This window comes from Homo sapiens, chromosome 15 (genome assembly GCF_000001405.40).
Source record: "Homo sapiens chromosome 15, GRCh38.p14 Primary Assembly".
Lineage (NCBI taxonomy): Eukaryota > Metazoa > Chordata > Mammalia > Primates > Hominidae > Homo > Homo sapiens.
Window position 1 is genome coordinate 27,443,024 of NC_000015.10, and position 23,999 is coordinate 27,467,022.

The window sequence follows — 23,999 nt, forward strand, 5'->3', positions numbered from 1 at the left end:
CCCCAAATCCCTGTGTTGAAGCCCTAACCCCCAGTACTTCAGAATGTGACTATATTTGGAGGTAGAGTCTTTAAAGAGGAAATTAAGTTAAAATGAGGTGATGAGCGTGGGCCCTAATCCAATAAAACTGGTGTCCTTTTAAGAGATTAGGACACCGATATACCCAAAGGGAAGACCCTGTGAGGACCTAGGAGGAAGACGACCATCTTCAAGCCAAGGGGAGAGGCCTCAGAAGGAGTCAGCATTAAATTAATAGGCCAATTTGCAAAGAATTGAGAATTCAAAAGCAATGAGTCTTTCCATGTGCTACATTGGTATATCTCTTTATTTAGTTAGGTCTTCTTTAATTTTTCTAAACAGTGTTCAGTATACAGGTCTTGCACCACACATTCTGTTAAAATTATCCATAAAATTTTCATGCTTATTACAAGTGGTATTGCACTTTAAAATTCATTTTGAATCATATATTGCTAATATTCTGTTTACTGACCTTGTACCTGTGACATTGCTAAGCTGTCACATAAATTTAAGTAACCTTTTATAGATAAATTAAATATGTTCTACATACAGGATTATGTTTTGCTTCTTCTTTTCCAAAACACCTGCATTTTATTTCTTCTCCTTGTCTGATTGAACTTTCTAGAATGTCCAGCATAACACTGAATGAGAGTGGCAAGAGAAGATATCCTTCTCTTATTCATGATCTTAGAGGGAATGTTGGGAGCCTTTCATCATTAAGTGTGATATTAGTTGGAGGGTTTTGTCAGGTACCCTTTATCAAGTTGAAGAAATTTCTTCTATTTCAAATTTGCCTGGAGGTTTTATAATGAACCGGTGTCAAATTTTGGGAAATGCTTTTACCTCATCTATTGAGATGATCATACTGTTTTCTCTTTTACTCTGTTAATAAGGTAAAACATATCTATTAATCAACAAATGTTATAGTAATTTCCTGGGGTAATCATTTATTGCTATCATTTATTGCTAGATTCGGATAGTTAATATTTTGTTGAAGTGTTCATGTCAATTTCCTTTCTTGAAATATCATTATCTGGTTCTAGTGTCATGGCAATGCTATCCTCACAAAATTTGTTGGAAACAGTTGACTTTTCATGTTAACCTTCTGAGTGAAAGAATTTACTGTTATTTTTCTGAATTCTTAGGAAGTGGGATCAACTTCATCAATCATGTTTTTCAAATCTTCTTACTATGTAGTGATTTTTTTGTCTATTTATTCAAAAAGTATATAAAGATCTTCCAAAATGATTGAGGATTTCTCTATTTCTACATGTGATTTTGTCCATTGAGGTTTATGCAAATTTAGAATTATCATTAACTCCCCCAAATTAAAATATTTAACCACTATTAAATATTATTTATTTTCTCTTAAAGTCCATATATTGTAATGCTAATATGGGTACACATGCTTTATTTTGGTTAATGATGTCATGATATATTTTTTACCTTCACTGGACTTCGAAGTTTCTGTATCTTTATGTTTTAAATATGTTTCTTGAAAATAGTATATTGTTGATTTTCAGGATTTCTCAAAGTTCAATCTGATAATCTTTGTCTTTTAATTATAGCTATTAGTCCTTTTTAATATATCTAATATGTTTGGACTTAAATCTGCCAGCTTACTATCAAATTTTTAATTTGCTCCACTTTGCTGTTTCTCCTCCTTTATTCTCTTCCTACTTTCTTTTGAATAGATTATATTTCGTCAGTTTACTTTCACTCTCTATTGGGAGTTATACAGTATCTTTTATACTTTAGAAGTTTGCTCATTCATCAATTGATGCACATTTCCAAAGCCAGCTTTAATCCTATATGAATAATATTGTTAAGAACATTCATGTTCAAGATTTTTTTTTTTGGGACAGAGTCACCCAGGCTGCAGTGCAATTGTGCAATCTTGGCTCACTGCAACCTCCACCTCCCAGGTTCAAGCAATTCTCCTGCCTCAGCCTCCCAAGTAGCTGTGATTACAGGCGCCTGCCACCATGCCTGGCTAATTTTTTGTATTTTTAGTAGAGATGAGGTTTTGCCATGTTGGCCAGGCTGGTCTCGAACTCCTGACCTGAGGTGATCCACCCGCCTCGGCTTCCCAAAGTGCTGGGATTACAGGTGTGAGCCACCATGCCCAGTCATGTTCAAGATTTTATGTAGACATGTTTTTATTTTACCTTGGCTAGAAGTGAAACTGCTGGGTCATACAGTATCTCCTTGCTTAATCTCTTGAGGAACTGCCAGACTGTCTTCCAAAGTAGCTATATGATTTTACATACCCACCAGCAATTTATCCACCTCCTCATGAGCAGTTTTCATTTTTGATTTTTATTAGAGCCATCCTGGTAAGTGTGAAGTGGCATCACTTTGTGGTTTTGATTTAAATTCCCTACATAGTCATTGATGTTGAGCATCTTTTTATGTGTTTATTGGCCACCTGTACATCTTCTTTGGAAAAATTATCTATTCCCATCTGCTGACCATTTTAAAATTGTACTATTTGTCTTTTATTACTAAGTTGTAGTGGTTTAAAATATGTCCTATATAGAAGTCCCTTATCAGATTATGTGGTTTGCAAACATTTGCTCCCATTCTGAGCATCATTTTTTCTCTTTCTTAATGATAATTTTTGAGGTGCAAAATTTAAAATTTAATAAAGTGTATTTTTATATTTATATCTTTGGTGTCATATCTAAGAGGGTTTTTTTAACCTGAGACTTATTGCTGTGTTTTCTTCTGAAAGTTTTGCAGTACCAGTTATGTCCCATTTTGAATTCATATTTGCATATGGTGAGATGAAGTAGTCCAATTTCATTCTTTTTAGCATGTGGATATCCAATTGTGCCAGCACCATTTGTTGAAAAGACTTTTTTTTTTCCTATTGAATAGTCTTGGGACCCTTTGTAGGAACTAATTGGCTGTAAATAAGAGGATTTATTTGTGAACTCTCAATTCTATTTTGTTGATCTATATTTCTATCCTGATTTCAGTACCACTTTTTTAATAACTCTAACTTTGCCACTAGGTTTGGAAATAAGAGAATTGTGAATTCTTCAACTTCATTCTTCTTTTTCTTTGTTTTAGCTATTCTGGGTCTCTTGCATTTTCATATGAATTTTAGAATAATCTTGTCCATGTCTACACAAGAGTCAGCTAAGCTTTTCATATAAATTGCATCGTATCTATAGACTACTTTGAGTAGTATTATCATCTTAACAATATTAAATCTTCTGATCAATGAACATAGTATACCTTTTCATTTATTTAGGTCTTTAATTTCTTTAAAATATTTTGTAGGACATTCGTGTGCTTCTGATTTGATTGAAGATTGAATTAATGTCCTAACACCAGACCGACCCCTGAAATATCTTAGGAAACACAAGTGCAATAGCATTCCAAATGAAAGCAATTTTCTTATCTTGCTGTTTTCAGCCACCGTCCATATATCAGCATGAAGGAAAATATTCATTTAAATGAGACAAGACTGTTACATTATCTATATGTTTTCATAAAAATTTCTAGCAGAAAAAAAAATTTTGTAGTTTTCAGAGTATAAAATTTTTACTTATTTTGTTTAATTAATCTTATGTATTTTATTCTTTTTGAGGCTATTGTAACTGGAATTGTTTTCTTAATTTTATTTTTGGAATGGTATTGTTGTTTATATAAATACAATTTGGGAATTCTTGTTGATCTCATTGGACAGGTGTGCTCAAGTATTACTAGGATGGATGACTCTTTTAGAGACAGAAAGACTTTCTGAATCCAGGGGAGTCAGTGGCCCTCCATTGAGGCTCAGTTTTAAAAAGCACAGAGGAAGCTAGAAATATGGCATTCTGTGAGAATACACATACACCCCCAACACACATTCACACACATATACTCATGCCCGCACCGACTCACACACTTTGTGCCTTACTTCTCCACACAGAGTTAGCTTTCCCACCCTCTCTGATGCTCCTCCCATGCACCAGGGGCAGTACTATGCATTGAGGGTCTAGGGATGAACCCCACACAAAGCCTACATGGGAAGACACATCTGCAAAATATTAACATCTGGTAGACAAGGGCAGCAATCCCAATGTTCATAAAATGTTCCAGCAGCACAGAGGACGGAACAACTAATTCTATGTGGAGGAGTAAGGCAAGGCTTGGGAAGAAGGTTCCCATTCCAACCAGAGACATAATTATAGGCAAAATCAGAGTCAAAAGAGACAGGCATGTCCCAGAAGCATCAGACTAACCTGCAGCACCCCAGGGAAAGGAGTCGAGCATGGCTGAGACTGGGCATGTAGGCAGACATACTCACAGGCCTGGTGGCCTCGCTTAGCAAGGGGACATTTATGCTATGGGAAATGGGGAGTCACTGAGGATTTTAGTCAGAAAAATTGTATAATTAGGGTTTCTTAAGGTGAATAAACCTGAAGTGTCCAAGTGGGGGAGATGCCATAATTATAGTGAGAAATTAGAAGACTGCTATTGTCCAGAATAGAGTTAGGGAGGATCTGAACTAGGCCAGAGATGACAGGGCTGAGAGATGGGGACAGATTTGACACAGACCTACACATGCTGATGATGAGATAAAAGGACTGGATAAAGAAAACATGGCACATATACACTGTGGAATACTATGCAGCCATAAAAAAGGATGAGTTCATTTCCTTTGCAGAGACATGGATGACACTGGAAACCATCATTCTCAGCAGACTAATACAAGAATAGAAAAACAAACACTGCATGTTCTCACTCATAAGTGGGAGTTGAACAATGAGAACACATGGACACAGGGAGGGGAACATCACACACCAGGGCCTGTCAGGGGTAAGGGGGCTGGGGGAGAGATAGCATTAGGAAAAATACCTAATGTAGATGACAGGTTGATGGGTGCAGCAAACCACCATGGCACGTGTATACCTATGTAGCAAACCTGTATGTTCTGCACATGTATCCCAGAACTTAAAGTATAATAAGATAAAATACACAAATAAATATTTATAAAAACAAAGCTAGGTCTCTGGTAACAGAGAAAGATAGAGGAACTTACATTTGTTATTAAGGTGCCATGTATTAAGTAAAACACCAAACACGTTTTTTTTAAAAAAAGGACAAATGGGTGACAACTGATATTTTTTACCTGCATATCTGAGAAAACTGTAATATATTTACCCAAGGGGTAGTGAAGGAAAGACGATTTTGTTATAAAGAGAACAAACTTGGTTTTAGACACACTGAAATAATTGTCCATCCCCTTTCCCAATGGACGTGGAGGGCACAAATGGGATCTGGAATTCACGTGACTGGGGCTGGATCTGGAAGGCACTATTTCCCAGGAAGTAGAAGACATGGCATGGAAGAATACAAGGAGGAATCACGTGTAAATGCAACCCATTTCATGTGAATACCACTCATGACGTAATTATTCACATGATTATGCCTGAAAAAATAGAATATGAGCACACTTACGTGGCACTGGGATGTGATGATACTATATTCTGTTTTAAAGAAACTTGATTCAAATCAGTTTGGCAAGTTTTGATGGATACACACTATGTAATCCCTGCCAGGGAAAGTATTACAAAGAAAAGGTAGGGATTTCTGTTATGCCCTATGTCATAGATTCCACAAGGAAGATATTCAGAAAATGTATGTTTGTTGATTGAAATGATTGCCTCAAAGAACTTACAAAACTACACAAAAAGCAGAAAATACATAACTACAGAAAGTATTTCACATAGGAGTGCCATGCCTGTACATGTGTGCATGTGTGCATGCACACACACAAAATAAGTTACGAAGTTATTTAAAAAAAAAACAGATAAAAATTATTTAAAAGTAGCCACCTTATTGTATGGTCTAGGTCAGGGATTTCCCAAATTGTCTTTCACAGTTCTTTCAGGCAGACTCAGGAAACAGCTGGATAATAAATTTAGTAAGTTTCTTTACTATCAGTCTTTTAAGAGCCTCCAGTGTAATAGTGTATTGGAATCTCCAAGAGGGGAGTAGAGTGGGTGCCCTGTCCAAAATGTGTTTGTGACAGATACATGGTCTGACTTCCTTTCTTTTCGTGCTAATCCCTCATCCTTGCCCTGCTTTTCTTCTGAAATAGGTGCCTCCCTGCACCAATAAGTGAAGGAAAGGAGTGTTCTGGGAGCTGTAGCCTTTCCAACAGAACTCTGCCTGTGCATACTCGCACTGGAATGTTACAGCTCCCCACACTTCCTCATGCTCCAGCCAAGCCACCTCCTCCCGCATCCAGGCACCTCTCTAGCATCACTCCTGACCTCTCTCAGGAAGGCTGGTGAAGCCCGGAGAATTCAATCAGCAAGAGCCCAGCTCTGCAGAAGGTTTCCTTATCCTCTGACCCTATTTTGGACAAGCCATTCTATAAGGTTGTAATAATGAAATCTAATTTTTATAAAAATCTCCATTTTGAAGTTAAGATGATAAATGCCATGAAAATAGGAAGATGTAAAAAATGTTTACATTTTGTGATGGTAGTTAAGCCAGAAAAGAGTTTCATTATTTTGAGATTCCTCCATGTTGTCCAAGGTGAGTCAGACAATCTGGTTAAAATAGTGAAAAACAAAAAGAAATATTTAATTGCTATGTTGGCTCTAACTCCAGAAGAATGAGTCTGTTTATGTGAGTAGTAAAAGAAAAGTTATCCACATGTACTAGGGTGTTGGCATGGTTAATGACAATGAAGGCTGACTCTAAAAATATTAAAACACCTACACGCTGAGTCGTACGGCAGTCAATTCAATTTGTGTAAAGTTCATCAATTCAATTTGTGTGAAGTTCAATTAGAAATAATCTTGTGTTCTCAAATGCTTGCTGCACTCTCTCAGTAGAAAATGAAATGCACTTCTTAAGGTATATGAAAGTGCTGGTAAGTTTATGTACTTTTTCTATAGGTGTACATATGTCACTCTTTTAAAATATTCACAATATATGAAACATGATTTTGTAAACTCACCCTGCTATCTGTCATTTTGCACTGCAGAAAGCCTGGATAAATGTTCAGTTTATAAATGGAGATTCCAGAGAAACTGCCCGCTCCACAAGAGCAGAGCTGTTTTCTGGCAGACACACACTTGTGGGGGTGGAGTTTCATAGGCCTGACACCCTCCCCACACAAGAAAAACCTGTCTTTTGCAACTTCCTCTCCTGCCGTCATTTTTTTCGTGTTTAATCTACCGCATATGTTGCTTCAAAATATGAAAATACAAAGAAAAACTGACAGGCCAACATCCCCGATGAACACAGATGCAAAAATCCTCAACAAAAGACTAGCCAAATGAATTTCACAGCACCTTAAAGAGATCGTACACCATGAGCAAGTGGGACTTATCCCAGGGCTCCAAGGATGGTTCAGTACATGCAAATCAATCCACATGATACATCACATTAACAGAACAAAGGACAAAAACCTTATGATCATCTCAACAGATGCAGAAAAAGCATTTGCCAAAAATTCAACATATTTTCATGAAAAAACTCAACAAATTAGGTGTAGAAAAAATGTACCTCAAAATAATAAAGACCATATATGACTAGCCCACATTTATTACACTCAATGGTGAAAGGCTGAAGGCTTTTCCTGTAAGATCAGGAACAAGACAAGGATGTCCACTCTTGCCACTTCAGTTCAACATAGGAAGTCCTAGCCAGAGCAATAAGGCAATAAAAATGTCGGGGGTGGGGGGGTGGCATCCAAATCTTCTGAAAAAAAGAACTAAAAATGTCTCAGGTTGCAAATGACATGATCTTATATGTAGAAAACCCTAGTCCCCCAAATTGTTAAAACTAATAAACAAATTCAGTACAGTTGTGAGGCAGAAAATCAACATGCAAAAATCAGTTGCCTTTCTATACATTAACAATGGACTATCTGAAAAGGATATTAAGAAAACAATCTCATTTAAAATAGCATCAAAAATATTAGGAATAAATGTAGCCAAACTGAAAACTATAAAATATTCATGAAAGAAATTAAAGAAGACACAAATAAATGAAAAAATACCCCATGTTCATGGATTGGAAGCATTAATATTGTCAAAACGTTCATACTACCCAAAGTGATCACCCAAAGTGATTCAGTGTAATCCCAATCAAAATTTCAATGATATATTTCTCAGAAATAGAAAAATAAAATCCTAAAACTTATATGGAACCACAAAAGATCCCAAATATCCAGAACAATTCTCATAAAGAACAACAAAGTTGGAGGCATCATACTTCTTGATTTCAAGTTATATCATAAAGTTACAGTTTAAAAAATAGCATACTACTGACACAAAAACAGAAACACAAACCAATGGAACAGAATAGAGAACTCAGAAATAAATTTATGCATTTCTGGTCAATTAATTTTTAAAAAAAGATGACAAGAACATGAAATGGGGAAAGGACAGTCTCTTCAATAAACGATGTTGGGAAAACTGTATAGACATATGCAAAAGAATGAAATTGGACCCTTATCTCACACCATATACAAAAATTAACTCAAAATGGATTAAAATCTTAAAGGTAAGAACTGAAACTATAAATTTCTGGAAGAAAACATATGGGGAAAACTCAATGACATTAATCTGTGTGATAATGTTTTAAATATGAACCCAAAAGCACAGGCAACAAAAGCAACTATAAACAACTGGGATTATATCAAACTAAAAACCTGCACAGCAAAGGAAACAATCAACAAAGTCAAAGAAAATCTATGGATTGGGGGAAAATATCTGCAAACTACACACCTGATAAGAAGTTGATATCCAAAATATGAAAGGAACTCAACAACAAAAGCAATTAAAAATGGGCCAAGGGACACATGGCTGCAACTTGACTGATGGAGAAAATATAAGCATATCTGGTGGAGAGAGATGGAGAGAGAAAGGGACAATACAAATGTAGTAAAATGTTGTCATAATATTTGGTGATCTGCTGGTTATCTGAGAGATCTTTGTACTATTCTTATAACTTTTCTTAAGCCTAAAATAATGTCAAATTGGAAGAAAATTTTTAAGTTGAACAAAAGTGCGCAGGACCTAAACATTTCTCAAAAGCAGACATCCAAATGAACAACAGGCATATGAAAAACAGTCAACATCACTAATTGTCGGGGAAATGCAAATCTAAACCTCAGTGAGATATCACCTCACGCCTGTTAGAATGGCTGTTACCCAAAAGGCAAAAGATAACAAGTGTTGGTGAGCATGTGAAGAAAAGGGAACCATTGCACACTGTTGGTGGAATTGTAAATTGATACAGCCATGATGGAAAACAGTATGGTGGTTCCTCAAAATACTAAAAATAGAACTGTCATATGATCCAGCAATCCCAATATAGAGTTGACCCTTAAACAACATGGGGATTGTGGGGGCCAATACCCCCACAGTGGAAAATACATGTATAGCTTTTGACTTCCCAGAAACTTAACTCCTAACAGCCTACTGTTGACTGAGAGCCCTACCTATAACAAAAACAGTCAATTAACACACATTTCATTTGTTATATGCATTATATACTGGATTCTTACCACAAAATAAGCTAGAGAAAAGAAAATGTTGTTAAGAAAACCAGAAAGTGGAAGTAAGTGGATCATCATAGAGGTCTTCATCCTCATTGTCTTCCCATTGAGTAGGCTGAGGGGGAGGAAGAAGAGGAAGGGTTGGTCTGGCTGTCTCAGGGATGACAGAGACAGACTAAAATCCATGTGTAAGTGCACTTGTGCAGTTCAAACCCATGTTGTGCAAGAGTCCACTTTATATCCAAAGGCAGTGCAATCAGTATGCCGAAGAGGTAGCTGCAATTCCATGTTAATTGCAGCAGCATTATTCACAATAACCAAGGTCACCCTAAGTGTTCATACACATATGAATGGATGAAGAAATGTCTATGCACACACAGACACAGGAATACTATTCAGTCTTAAAAAGGAAGGAAATCCTGTCATTTGCAACAACATGGGATGAACCTGAAGGACATTATGCTAAGTAAAATAAGCCACAGAAAGACAAATATTGCATGACCTCATTTATATGTGGAATCTAAAAGAGTCCAACTCCTAGAAGCAGAGATTAGAATAGTGGTTGCCAAGGGCTGAGGGCAGGGAATGTGAGAAAATGTTGGTCAAACTGTACAAAACTTCAGTTATGCGGGGTTAGTTCTGAGATGTAATGTACAGCACCATGACTATAGTGAGCAATAATGTACACCTGGAATTTCTAAGAGAGTAGATATTAAGCATTCTCCTCACACACACATACTCACATACGAAGGTAACTATGGGAAGTGATGGATATGTTAATTAGCTTAATTATGGGAATGATTTTGCAATGTATATCAAAATCTCAAGTTATACACCTTAAATATATACAATATTTATTTGTCAATTATATAAAGCTAGAAGAATATGAAAATACATGTTATTCATATACTCAGGAATAGAATAGTTGCATGTGTCTTGAAGTTAAAGCATATTCATTTAATTATCTCAGTAACCTTTGAAATCTCACAGTATCCTTCAAAGGATTTTAAATGCAAAACAACACAGACTTTATTCTTTTCTTGTTTGTTTGTTTGTTTGTTTAGACAGAGTTTCACTCTGTCACCTAGGCTGGAGTGCAATGGCGCAATCTTGGCTCACTGCAACCTCCACCTCCCAGATTCAAGCAATTCTCCTGCTTCAGCCTCCTGAGTAGCTGGGATTACAGGCACCTGCCAACATGGCTGGCTAATTTTTGTATTTTTAGTACTGGCAGGGTTTCACCATGCTGCCCAGGCTGGTCTTCCACTCCTGACCTCAGGTGATCTGCCCACCACGGCCTCCCAAATTGCTGGTATCACAGGCATGAGCCACCACACCCAGCCAACTTCTTAAGCCCTTCTCTCCATTCCCTTGTCCAGCATTCCCATTGTCCCTTTAACTGTTTCTCAGCTATGCCTGTGTGCTTCCCTCCGTGGTCCTGTCTTAAGGCTAGAGAGCTCCACAGTCCACTCCATGTCCACACCGGGAGGTAGTTCCACAGAGGCAGCTGCCACACTGAGCAGGCTCACCCAGAAGTTAGAGGAAAAAGTCTTGCACAAGGTCAATTTGGGGTTGTACCTTGTTTATGTGACTCCAGTATGTGCCTGTCTTTAAGATATGCCTTTTGGTATGCCTTTAATATTTTCTCAAGAATTATACACCATTTCCTTGAACACTTCAGAAAAATGAAGCGTGTGGTCCAACATGGACATGAATGGATTCTGTAGTCTGTCCCTCTGCCTGCACAGAAATGGGAGAAAAGCCACAAAGCATCATAAGCCCACGCCTTATCTAAGCATTTACAAGGCTGTCCTGGGAGATTTGATAGTAGAGGTCTACATGCAGGAAAGTTGAGTAATGGATTTTTAATAACGTTGCTTCTAAACTGAAAAACATGGTAGAAAGGTCATTGACCACCCTGGTGACACGGGTGTGACTATCTCTCCAGCAGAGTGAATGATATGGTCCCAGAGTCCAAGGCGCCTCATGACTCAGTAATGCATCACCATCCTGACGCCCAGTGCTGCTGATGTAATGCCATTTCTTTCATGCTGGGAGGATTCAGAAAGGTGAAACCCACACATCACATTTTGTTTTTTAGCTATCTGGAACAGTAAGGCCACAGAAACAAAGCAGCTACTGTATTATGATGGGTATTCCATTCATGCATTTCAGTCCTTAGCAAGTAAGTCATCCCTGTCCACATTTGGAAAAGCGCTCATTTCTGCCTCTTGCAAAGAAACTTCAGTGTCAACACATACGTACGTTGACAAAGTAGAAAACTGCAAGCAGTAACCCCCGCAGGAAGCAATAATGAGTTCATTCAGTTCTGTACCAAATCTTGTATGAACCACAATGCCTGGCATGTTACACGGTCATTATTCATCTCTTTTTCTCTCCCTTCAGGCAGTTAGCTCTACGTGCATTCGTTTGACTTCAATAAACATAGGCATCATTCGCATTTACTGTGGCATCTTAAGGTAGCTCAGTAAACATTTTCCATTATCATTTTAATAATGTTCTTCCTGAGGCCTGAAACTGTCTAAAGAGAATATTCTTTTCATTGAAGTCATTTTCCCTTAACAGAATCTTGACTTTGTGAGGTCTTAGAAGGTGATACACTGCTGACACTCCTGGCTATCACGGTCCTGTGGGCTAGCAGCATGAGGGGCTGGTAAACAGCCCCAAGACTAGGTCAGCTCTGGCTGCTGCAAAACCTTACACCTTCCGCCCTTTAATCTACTAGTGTGTATGTGTGCTGTGCATCTGCGCATTTGTGTATATGTGCATGGTGTGTGTATGCCGTGGGTGGTTCGTGTATGGGGTGTATGTGGTGTGTATGTGTGCTATGTGTGTGTGCATTTGTGTATATGTGCATGGTATGTATGCCATGTGTGATTCGTGAGTTTGCATGGTATGTGTGTGATATGTGTGCTGTGTGTGTGTGCATTTGTGTATATGTGCATGGTGTGTGTATGCTATGTGTGGTTTGTGAGTTTGTGTGTGGTGTGTGTGTGGTGTGTATGTGTGCTATGTGTGTGTGCATTTGTATATATGTGCATGGTATATGTATGCCGTGGGTGGTTTGTGTGTGTGATGTGTGTGTGTATGTGTGCTGTGTGTGTGCATTTGTGTATATGTGCATGGTGTGTGCATGCTATGTGTGGTTTGTGAGTTTGTGTGTGGTGTGTGTGTGGTGTGTATGTGTGCTATGTGTGTGTGCATTTGTATATATGTGCATGGTATATGTATGCCGTAGGTGGTTTGTGAGTGTGTGTGATGTGTGTGTGTTGTGTGTAAACACTTTCTGAAGGTGCTTTGCCTCCAATTCTGGGACCCCTGGGGCTCTGGTCACTGTCCCACTTTGCCCGTGTCCAGACTCTAGGATAAGCCTGGTCACTGGACATGAATTTGAGAAGCCTGTGGTTGAGAGTCCACAGCCATCTTACCCCAGTGTGTTCTGACATCTGGGGCCCACCCTTAGCTTTCTATGATTGAGACCTGCCCTGAACTGGGTGACTATGGTCCCGCACTGCTTCTGGTCCTGCAGGTGATTCTGTTTTCTGACTCACTATGACCAGGTGCCAGTAACTGCTGTTGGGCCTCCCAGTGGTCACCTCCCTGCCTGCTTGGGCCTGGGCTGTCACATCTACTGCCCTGGACAGGTAGAAACCCAGGCCTCAAGTCTTACCCCTTCCCATGACAGCTGCCATCCTCTGTAGATCTCAAGAACTGTAGGACAATAGTTGGTCATGACACCCACAGATGAGAGAATGTCTGTGAAAACACTGGGTCAACTGCTAATTCCCAAGAGTCGCTGAGTGACCAGCATGGTGTGCAGAAGGTGAAGTGTGAGTCCCCTGGCATCCTTAGTGGCGCTGTGCTTTATTCACACCCCAAATAAAGGCACTGGGCCCCCCCGGGAAGGACCCGCAGAGGGACTGTGATGCATTCAGTTCAGCTCCTGCTGCACATTATACAAGAAGAGGCCAGGAGTCCACCAGTGGGTCGAGAATGCAGAGGTTCAGCATTCCCTCCCCTCCCACGGACAAAGGAAGGAGGATGTCTTCCCAAGGAACGGCCAATCTGGAAAGAGTGACAGGGCTGCCCTGGAGTTTGGGGACTGCAGGGCTCATAGCGGAGGAAATAGGCAGGCTGTACTGGGTGATGGGACCCACCGTCTCCTGGGTCTCAGATACTTGTGGGCCTGGAAGAGAGCCTGCTCCTTAATCCTTGATCAGGGCCCCTCCCTAGGAGGCTTGCTGCCCGTGCCAGGAGGAGCCCAAAGTCCTCAGAGGGGTTGCCACCTGCAGCAGCAGGAAGAAGGGCCCTCCCTACCACAGGCACCTGCAGTGCTGCCCAGAGATCAAGGAGCCAGCCCCAAGGCACAGGCACAGTGGCCATCCTACCAGCCCCAGAAGAGCTCCCCACTTTCCCGAGCTCCACCTACCACGCCGACCTCAGAAGGACCTGTGACAGCAGGGGTGTGGAAGTAGAAGGAGCTGGAGGAGGGGAGCTGCAGGCCTCACCTTCTCCAGCAGCTTGACACCAACACGGTGGGTGTGAGTGGAGGGTGGGGAGTTGTAGCATTCATTAGAGACCACAGTGGCGGCATGCAGCTGGACTGGGAGTGACTGCAAGGCTGCAAGAACTGCCCACGCTCCGACAGATGTACAGTGCAGGGCCGGCGGGGTGGTGGAGAGAAAGGAGGCATTTCCTTTCTACTTGCATCTCACAGGAAGGAGGCTTGGAAGATATTTGGACTAAGTCCTTGCTAGCATTTGACGTTTTGTTTTTTGCGTTTGTAGAAACATCACCTTCAGACCTACATCCATCCAAAGGCTACCTGTTCCTTTTTTCTTTCATCCTTCTCTATCTTTGTTCACTGACAATCTTCTTGGGCACATTTCTTTCTTGAGATAAACAATCTTTTAACACAGCAATGGGTCTGGGCTTTAAATGAAGAGCTTCACACTTGGCAGAGGAGGACCTGCGATTAGATACGGACACGTTCCCTGCCCCGTATCTAAAGTGGCTTGGCCAGGATTGATCCACTGTACCAGCCCTGCCCTCTCTAGGACGGGCTGCCTCCTTGGAGTCTGCAGCCTCACATCAGCCTAGACGCCTGGTCCAGCCTTCCTTACTCTGACCTGATGGTTGCAGTCGCCGTGTTTTCTGGCCAGTGGTATAACGAGTACCCACTGCTTTTTCTGCCTGTGTTTCACAAGGGGCTCTAAAGGACAGAATGTATTTGTCAAAGCACCTGTGCAGTGACTCCCACTCAGGGAAACCATCAGCTTTCAATTGGAGTGTTCTCCTGACTCCACATCTTTAAACAAAGCTTCCAGGCTCCAGGGCTTTGGGGTCTCTCGTGGGACCTTATTGATGTAGCTGAAAGAGGAGGCAGAAACAGCCTGTGACCATCTGCTTTTGTCGTGAACTCCTTGGACGGTGCAGGAACTATGCTCAGGCCCCCCGACTCTGGGTTCTCTCTTCTCCTCTGAGTCCCCACCTGTCTCAGTCCCCCCTCCCTGTATTGGTCAGCTGTGTGGCACATGCTGGACACTGGCGCACACACAGTGCACACACATCCAGGCCGCATCTTCACCGAAAGCACCCGCAGATCGTGATAAGTGCGGCCACCAAAAGGCGGCTTGTAGGAGAAGTGTCTCTCCTATTCTTCAAAGCTGCTAACTGACACATAATATGACATCGCTCCATCCTCATAAATTGTATTGGCCTTGACGCTGTTTATCTTCATTACACTTTAGGGGAAGGAAATGCAAGGCCATTTAATAATAGTACTTTTTGACTGGTGACGTGCATGTGTCTAGCCAATTCTCACCCTGATTGAAATAGTCGAAATGGCCTAATTTAATACAGCCTTGGTTACTGGGAATGTAATCATCTTTCCCTGAAATTGCATCCCTGTTCACAAGCTCGTCAAGTCTGGAGAGGTATCCACAGCTGCCTCGCAATTTGAGGAGATGCAAGCTCCATCTCATTATCCAGCTGAGAGGCAATCAATGCCTGGTGGCGCCTTCGAATCAGAGATTGGGTGGCAATAACGTGTCCCTCTTAGGGAAGGCTCTGTGAACTGAGCAGGGCTCACTTTCTCCATATGCCTCTGACAAAAAAAAAAATAACCAAAAGGAGAAAAATCCAGGCTTATTTTCCAGAGGCAATTTCTAATGTGAGCTAGCTAGATAAAAATGGCTGCAGGTTACTACAGCAGAGGCTGCAATTGCAATGACGAGAGCCTCATCTGCCCAGTCTTCTAGATGAGCTCGGGCTCCTGTGGCCCTGGGCATGTAGGAGTGGGTGCAGCTGGCCTCAGGCCCTGGGCCCATTGGTCAGTGTCTCTGTCCCGTCTCCGGCACATTCTCTTCCTCTCTGGCTGTGGTGTGCCCCATCCTCTGCAGGCATCATTGCTCGATTCTTCCAACACCCTTAAGTCTTCTCTTCGATTCTTCCAACACCCATAAGTCTTCTCTCTCCACCTTTCCCCAGAAATACTTCCCCCGTCAGCATGTGTTTGTGAACCTCAAAAGCCGATTGTTTCCTGCCCTCTGTCTCAACAAGGTTTCGATGTGATGTGTGATACCTTAGAGGACTATGTCTTTCCAAAATGCTGCTCTCCTGGTGAGAAAGAGAGCCTTGGCAGGCTCGGTCCCATACAGTAGAGTCTTGTGTTCCTGCTGCTGGGAGTCCCTGAGCATCAAGGTGAGCACACATCACCGCATGCATGGACAGCTGCATGCCTCAAGTGGCACAGGTGACAATTCAGGAGTTTTCCAAAAGGAAAGAAAAATTCATCTCTAGGGTATCATCACCCAAACCATGTCATCCTCTACCTCCGTAAAGGCAAAATGAAACTGGGAAACAGCATTGTGCCTGTTGGTAACACTACTGAATTACACACTTAACAGTCTGCTAAGAGGCAGATCTCATGTGCTCATATTAAGTGTTCTTACTGCAGTAAAATAAAATTTTAAAAAACATATCTAATTGTATACCTGAAAAGGATGATTATACTAATGTAAATTGTATCTCAATAAACCTGACAAAATATTTTTTAAAAAAGAAAAAGGAAACTATAAAAAAATATAATTAGCATAGTGAAACTTGATCAAAGTGAAAATTTCAACACTGGTCATTAGATGGTCTTTGCAATTTCATGGTTGCGCATGTGCACACACACCCACACTTCCTTGTAAGTAAAATTAAATACCTCAGACTGATATACATTTCCTTTTGGTTCAATTTTCAGAAGTTTTTCCCTCTCATTTCTTGCTAGCAAGTGTAACTTTTCATTATCATCCAAGAGTTGAACTTGCATTTTTTTCATTTATTTATAGTCGCTTGTTTCTGGATTTTGAGAGTGAGGGAAAGGTGAGTGTGGTTGGCTGACTTACAGGAGTCCCTCTATGTCGTAATGGTGGTCCTTTGAATGGAATTGGACTGCCTTATTACTGTTGTCATTACTCGAAGGCCATGTCTCTGAAGCCACAGCTGCATTCCTGAAGACTGAGTTTACCTAAATGCTAACCTTTGGATAAATTTAAGTATTATAATAGTATTATAACCGGAAGTACCTCAAATACATCACAGTTGTTAATATTTTTGTCCAACAACAACAACAAAAACAATATTTCAAGCCTTTTTTGTGGTAAGTTGCATACTGCAACCATTCAAACAAAGTCTAAAAGCAGAGTAAAAACTTTCCACTCCTCTTCATGCCACCCGTGTCCCTGCTGGAGGCTGAGCCATGGTTGGTGTGACTGAGCCAGACTGGGGTCTGCTTGGCAGGTGCACTGAGGCCAAACACAAACATCAAAGTTTTGCTGCAGGAGAAAGGAGGGTGTTTATTTGCAGGGCGCCCCGCAAGGAGAACCAGGAAACTCACACTGAAGACCTGACCTCCTCAGTGGATTGTGAGCAGGAGTTTTTAAAGGCAGGGGTAAATTTCAGGGAAACAGAAGTTACAGGCAAAACTGCAAGTCAGTACATAATACATGGAGATTACATGCTGGTTTGGCCTGAACAGGCAGGAGGGTATCTTGAAGCAGAAGCTTACAGGTCAGAGGTGGATTCAGAGACTCTCTGATTTGTGATCGGCTAAGGAAGTGAAACTTTGTCTAAAAAATCTGGGGTGGACAGAAAGGAATGTTAAGATCTGGCCCGAGGACATGACTACCTCCAGGCCCCTCAGGAAGAAATTGGGAACAAAGAGCAAAGTCAGAGTGCAGCCCTCAGCTCCTGTCCCTGAGGTCTGCCTTCCAGCCCATCCATTTGGTGGGGGTCCAGGTTCCTTCCATCAGGTTGCTTATTTACTTCTCAGGGCTAGATAGCTAGGTGCCTGGAATATCCCGCAAAGGGACTCAAGATTTTTATTTCCATGCTTTGCAGGTTTGGTAGGCCCTAAAACAGGTCTCTGCTCGTTCCTGTACATCTGTTTGCTCATGCAAACTTATACAAACATATCTACTCTCCCACTTGTACACACGAGATTGTTTTTGCTAAGATGAACTCACTCACTCCCTCCTCACCACTCAGGGTCCCGCAGTTCAAGATGTGCGGCAGGCGCCTTTCCCACTCAGAGCACTGCTGCTGCTGCTTCCTTATTAATGGCATCATCCTCTCCCATAGGATGCAGAATTCCTGCCTTCATTCAAGCTGTCAAAAATAGCACAGCAACCCACATGTGTGCGTTATTTTTATTACTTTTTTTTTGCTGGCACTGTATTTCTGTCATGCAAATTTCACAAATCAAAGTTTACAAACATTGACTAGTCTGATAGTGCTGCATTCCGTGCCATTGTGTCCAGAATTGGTTCCTTCTGGTGGGTTCTTGGTCTCTCTGACTTCAAGAATGAAGCCTCGGACCCTCGGGTGAGTGTTACAGCACTTAAAGATAGTGCCCACCCAAAGAGTGAACAGCAGCAAGAGTTATTGCGAAGAGAAACAACAAAGCTTACACAGCATGGAAGAGGACTCCAGGAGGTTGTCACTGCTGGCATGGGTGGCCAGCTTTTATTCCCTTATTTGGCCCCACTCATATCCTGCCGGTTGGTCCATTTTACAGAGAGCTGATTGGTCCATTTTACAGAGAGTGATTGGTCCGTTTTACAGAGAGCTGATTGGTCGGTTTTTACAGAGTGCTGATTGGTGCATTTACAAACCTTTAGCTAGACAGAAAAATTCGCCAAGTCCCCGCCAGACCCATAAGCCCAGCGGGCTTCAATTCTCACCATGGTTTTGCATTCAATACTAGAGCCAAAAACAGTGTAGAGAGACTTCTTTTTCACCACTTTTGTCTACACTGGATGTTTCGATACATGTGTTAAAAGTTGCCCATCTCACGAGAAAAGTGAACCTCAGTTGATTTATTTTCATTTCCCTGACTCTTGGATTCTTGGTGAACATGCCCATTGTCTGCCATGCTTCTTGGCCAGTTGCTGCTTCTAGAACCAGTTCTCCTTTCCCTCATCTGCCCTTGCTCAGTTGTCTTCCTCGTTCTTCCTGAAGCACACCCAGCCCCTTGCTCACCGTCTTTGATGGTTTCCTGGAGAAGTCCTCATCTCCTTCCGGGTCTTATAGGGAATTTTTGGATCACCTCCCCTCTGAGCCGGCTCCTCACTCCCACCACTCTCATCCCCTGCCTCCACTCTAAGCTTATCAGCATCTGCCTGTGTGCAATCTTGTCCCCCAAGGATAAGCCCAGGAGAGCAGGGACCTTGCTATATCCGTGTTATTTCTGCAGCATTTAGAAATGTGCCAGGAACTGACTAAAATGGAAACAGAGCAAAACCAATAAATAACCGGAACTCTGGGTTTGGAAGGAAGCTAAATAAAAGCCAAGCCCCAGCAGATTGGATAGAGAAAAGTAAAACAGAAATGTCTAAAATATGAAAGAACACAGAAATGATACTCATATATAATATTCTGTGTATATTATTTCAAGGCCCTAGTCTTATATATAGTATTAGAGATAAGTTCTACCAAACTTTTAAGAAACCAGTGTTTATTATTCTAATTAAAATTGTAAGTTGAAATACTGTGTTTTATTCCAGTGTTAACTTCTCCTATCACTTGATATAGAGGGTTTTTAAATAACTTTTGTGCTACAATGTGAAATACATGGCATACCACAATTTAGTATCCTACTAAATCTGCAAAGATTAATATACTGTCTGCTTAATTCGGCATTTATCCCAAAACTGGCATACTATAATTCCAGAAAGATGACAATAATGCAACATTAGAATATCTTTCAAAATAATTTGTTAAATAAACAAATTGAAATTTTTAAAATATGATTCAGTGACCTATTTCAATAAAAACACTATGTATTAAAGAGAGAAATATTGGATGTAAAACACATGGCAGGTATCAGGAACGTTGTCTCTGCTTTAGTGATATATGAAGGAAATAAAAATAAGCACCACAAGTTTTGTAAAAGTTAATATTATTGTTTACAGATGATATGATCAGATATCTTGAAAAAATAATGCATGCTACTAAAATTATTAAAATTAATATATGTTTTGAAGTGAGCTTGATTCAAAATTAATACATAAGGTTTAACAGATTTTATTTGAATTACAAACATTGTATAAAAATGTAAATAAAACACCTCTTTATATTAGACAAAAAAGGAAAGCAAAAGCAAACATATGTTCTAAGACTCATGATATATATAAAGAAAATTGTTAAAATTCTATTGAAGAATGTGAAACAAGTACTATAAGATAGGCATATATTCTTGACAGGAAAGATTTGATATTGCAAAGATATCTGACCTCCCATCACTAATTTGGTATGTAAATATTTCAATCAGAATTCCAATTTTTCTTTAAAATTATTTGTGTTATTTTTTGGTATCACCGAAGTGTGGATCTTTAACAGTGGGCCAGAAGCAGATGACTGTGAAGATGAAAGCTGAAACTCCCTGGCCCTCATTCACACGGCTGATTCCAAGACCCTGGGAGAGGCCCTAGCACAATTTGCAAAAGTGAGATATTGAAACCATGCTGTGTGACCAGCCCTGCCCCTTTCCCAGTGGCCTCCCTAGCACCTTCTTCTGTGGGGGTGTGCTGTGTCCATGTTTAGGATGTGAGCTCAGAAGTGTGTGCATTTCACAGCTGTGCCTTCTCCTGGAGACACGGAGCCGAGTCCAGACACTGCTCCTTTGGGGGTGCCATGAAAAGCTTGGCAATTTAGAAGCACTGTGCAGGGGGAGGCTGACAGCTGTTCTGTTGCTCCTTAAAGCTAGATGTTCACTACATCACTCCAACTTCTCTCTTCGCTCTTCTCTCAGGGAGTGGGCTCAGTTCAGACAGGACCAGCAAACCCACGTGCCCCTCCCATAAGGCATCATTGTTCATGTCACACATGAGCAGCTGTGTGTGGGTGTGCAAGTGAGAAAACGAGCTGGTGTCACCCATGCATCGTGGCCCCCTAAACAGCTGTGGGAGCACCAGCACTCCGCATTTTCATACTACTCCAGGTTTTTTTAAATGACTGCTTTATTGAGATATATTTCACATACCATAAAATGCACCAATTTTATACCTTGGCATAAAGGTGTACAGTTCAGTGGTGTTTAGTATATTCACAGAATTGCTTAACTATTATCACTTCCTAATTTGATAACATTGTCATCACCCCAAAATGAAACCCTGTACCCATTAAGCAGTTACTCCCTATCCCCTTCCTCCCAGTCCCAGGCAACCACTGATCTATTTTCTGCTCCTCCAAACTTGCCTATTCTGGACATTTTATATAAAGTGAATTATACATTATGTGGTTTACTTAACCCATTCTTCCATTGGTACCTCTTGGGTTATTTCCACTTTTTGGCTATTATGACTATTGCTGCTGTAAACTTTCATGTACAAGTTTTGGTGTGATTGTGTACATGTAGGACTGGAATTTCTGGGTCCTACGGTAACTCTGCATTTAATATTTTAGAGAACTGTGAAATGGCTTTCCAAAGTGGCTTCACCATTTTGCACTCCCACCAGCACGGTATGAGGGTTCTAATTTTCCCTAACCCCTCAAATACTGTACTTCCTTGTTAAAATCCTAGCCATCCTAGCGGGTATGAAGTGATATCTTGTACTATTTATTTGCATCTCTTGGTGACTAATGATGCTAAACATCTTTTCATGCACTTATTACCCATTTGTATATCTTCCTTTAAAAAATTCTATTTAAATTCTTTGCCCATTTTTAAATGGACTATTTGTCTTTGTATTGTTGACGTGTGAAAGTTCTTCATATATTCTGGGTGAAAATATCTTATCAGATACATGATTTGGAAATATTTTCTCTCATTCTGTGCCAGCACTCTTTTAAATTTGCATTGACTTTTTTTAATCTTGTGGATTATTAAAATTGTACAAAGCTAACAATTTCAAATTAATAAATATGTAAGTCTTTATGAATAGCTTAATTTTCACAACTACCAAGGCAGTAAACCTCAGAGGACTTAAGAAGGCACATGCTTCCAGGCACAGAGCCCGTGAATGTTTCCCCAGCCTGCACGGATCAAGGGTGATGAAGCTGCTGCCTCTCTCAGCTGCTGGTGGAGGGGGGTCTCCCCTTGCCACGTCAGCCCACTTGCCTCAGCAGAGCCCATTTTTCTCCCATTTGATGGGACCAAGGATCAGTGGCACTCTTTGGAGAATTACTAAAGAGAGTAATGTGTAAGCATGTCTAGACTTGCGTTTTCACGTTTTTAAAGCTACTGAAATCCTGAAAAATTACATGAAAATGGATACAAACGTAAGGTCTCTGCGTGACTAACCCCTTCCTACCAGCTCAGCTGCTTTCCCTCAGGGAACACAATTGGAAAACCTTTCCTTTGTGCCAACTGATGCCCCACAATGCAGCATCCGTTCCAAGGACACACTTTGCTTGTTTTTTAAAAGATGAGTCAGTGGCCAACATTTAAAAGTCAGGAGATTTTATACCGAATTCCCTATTTCTGCCTCTTTTTGAAAGGCCAGATGATTTCGTGACCATAGGCAGATTCTTTCCAGAGAGGAGGGACACTGCTTTGCCTAGGGCAGTGGCTCCAGGTCCCTGTGGCACTTACACTTCATTCCAGTCACCCAATCTCTTATTTATCCTCCCTGCACTGAGTTTGCAAATTCACCTCTAGGTAGTCTCTTTCAATGGCTCATACCAAATCTCTCTGGAAAAGACATTTTCCATTCCACAACAAGGATACATACAGTTATATACACATAGTGAAAATAACACAAAATAATATTTACTGGCACTCTGCATGATGCCTTCTGATATGTTCTTTTGTATTCTGCTGTATTTCATTTTAAAATGCTGGACATGATCCACTGAACTGATTCTAAAGACCCAGTGTTTCAAAAATACTGTTGTAGACCACCCTGTTGTATTTTAAAAAGATAAAGCCCCAAGAGATTGAGTGGGTTGGTTAATATCTAGAAACCTGGTAAAGAAGGAGCTGAGGCTAAACAACCTGTAGGCTTCAATTCAAGGCCCCTTATTTCATAAGGAAAAACACTGAATGCCAGACCGCACTGAGTTGAGAAATCTCTGAAGAAATTTAAAGAAGAGTCTGGCGTAGTTTCTAAACAGTGGGCGAAGGGCTTGTGACCCAGCAGCAGACTTTACAATATTCCATAGAAGACCACAGAATATTCAGTAGAATCTACAATGTCTCTTAATCTCTAGAGCCTCCTACCCCCAACAGTGGTAAATTTGTAACTGATGATTCCCCTGAGTCAATTCCAAGCCCTGGGACATTGGTGTGACATATGCATGGGGAAAATAGCATTGTTCATAGAATCAGTAAAATTATTATTATACTTGGACACATTAACAACTACAGACAAGAAAATGATCCCAATTTCCAAAGCAGAACTTATTTCTTATTGCACAGAAACAAAAATAAATTTGGAACAGCTTGATATTGCATCTTTTAAATCAATGCTTGTCTTCTTTTCCTTCTAAACATTTCTCAAAGTAGGTCAAATGCAACAGACCGGGAAGCTACCACTTAACACTTATCATTCAAAACAAATATCACTCTTCTGTAGACAAAAGGCTGTGCACAGTGTAATTTTTCTCTGAGGCTGCTGCTCCTCTTAAACCGTTGTATCCTAGTTGGAAGCACAGAGAGAGGAGGAAAGTGGCAGAGGGAAGAGGAAGGGACCCCAAGGGTAAGCATGGTGGCAGTGGGGCGACTGCTGCTCTCCAAGCCTCCCCACCACCCTCTTTAGCAGCCAAGGGCTGGAGACCCATAGAGGGAGAGCTTTCCAGAGAGCCCAGTGAAAAGGGAAAAGAACTTTTTAATATGGTATTTTGAGTAAGGGATGTAGTTTTTATGTTTTTTGGCAGCACAATAAACACTACAGTTAACATCAACTCAGTAATGACTGGCCTGGAACACTGCTGTGCATTTAATATAGCATCTTAG

The 23,999-nt window shown here is 40.8% G+C and overlaps 1 protein-coding gene across 2 annotated transcripts in view, besides 1 other annotated feature; it reads left to right on the forward strand.

Moving 5' to 3' along the window:
- The window catches only part of GABRG3 (gamma-aminobutyric acid type A receptor subunit gamma3), a 570,804-nt gene that overhangs the window by 471,843 nt on the left and 74,962 nt on the right, over positions 1-23,999 (forward strand). The gene's annotated exons all lie outside the window — the stretch shown is intronic.
- Positions 10,831-12,030: an enhancer, noted in NCBI's record as "BRD4-independent group 4 enhancer chr15:27699000-27700199 (GRCh37/hg19 assembly coordinates)". NCBI's record gives its function as "activates an origin of replication core promoter dependent on BRD2, P300/CBP, MED14 and CDK7 cofactors, and independent of BRD4, by STARR-seq in HCT116 cells {active_cell/tissue: HCT116}" and the evidence as "EXISTENCE:reporter gene assay evidence [ECO:0000049][PMID:35650434]".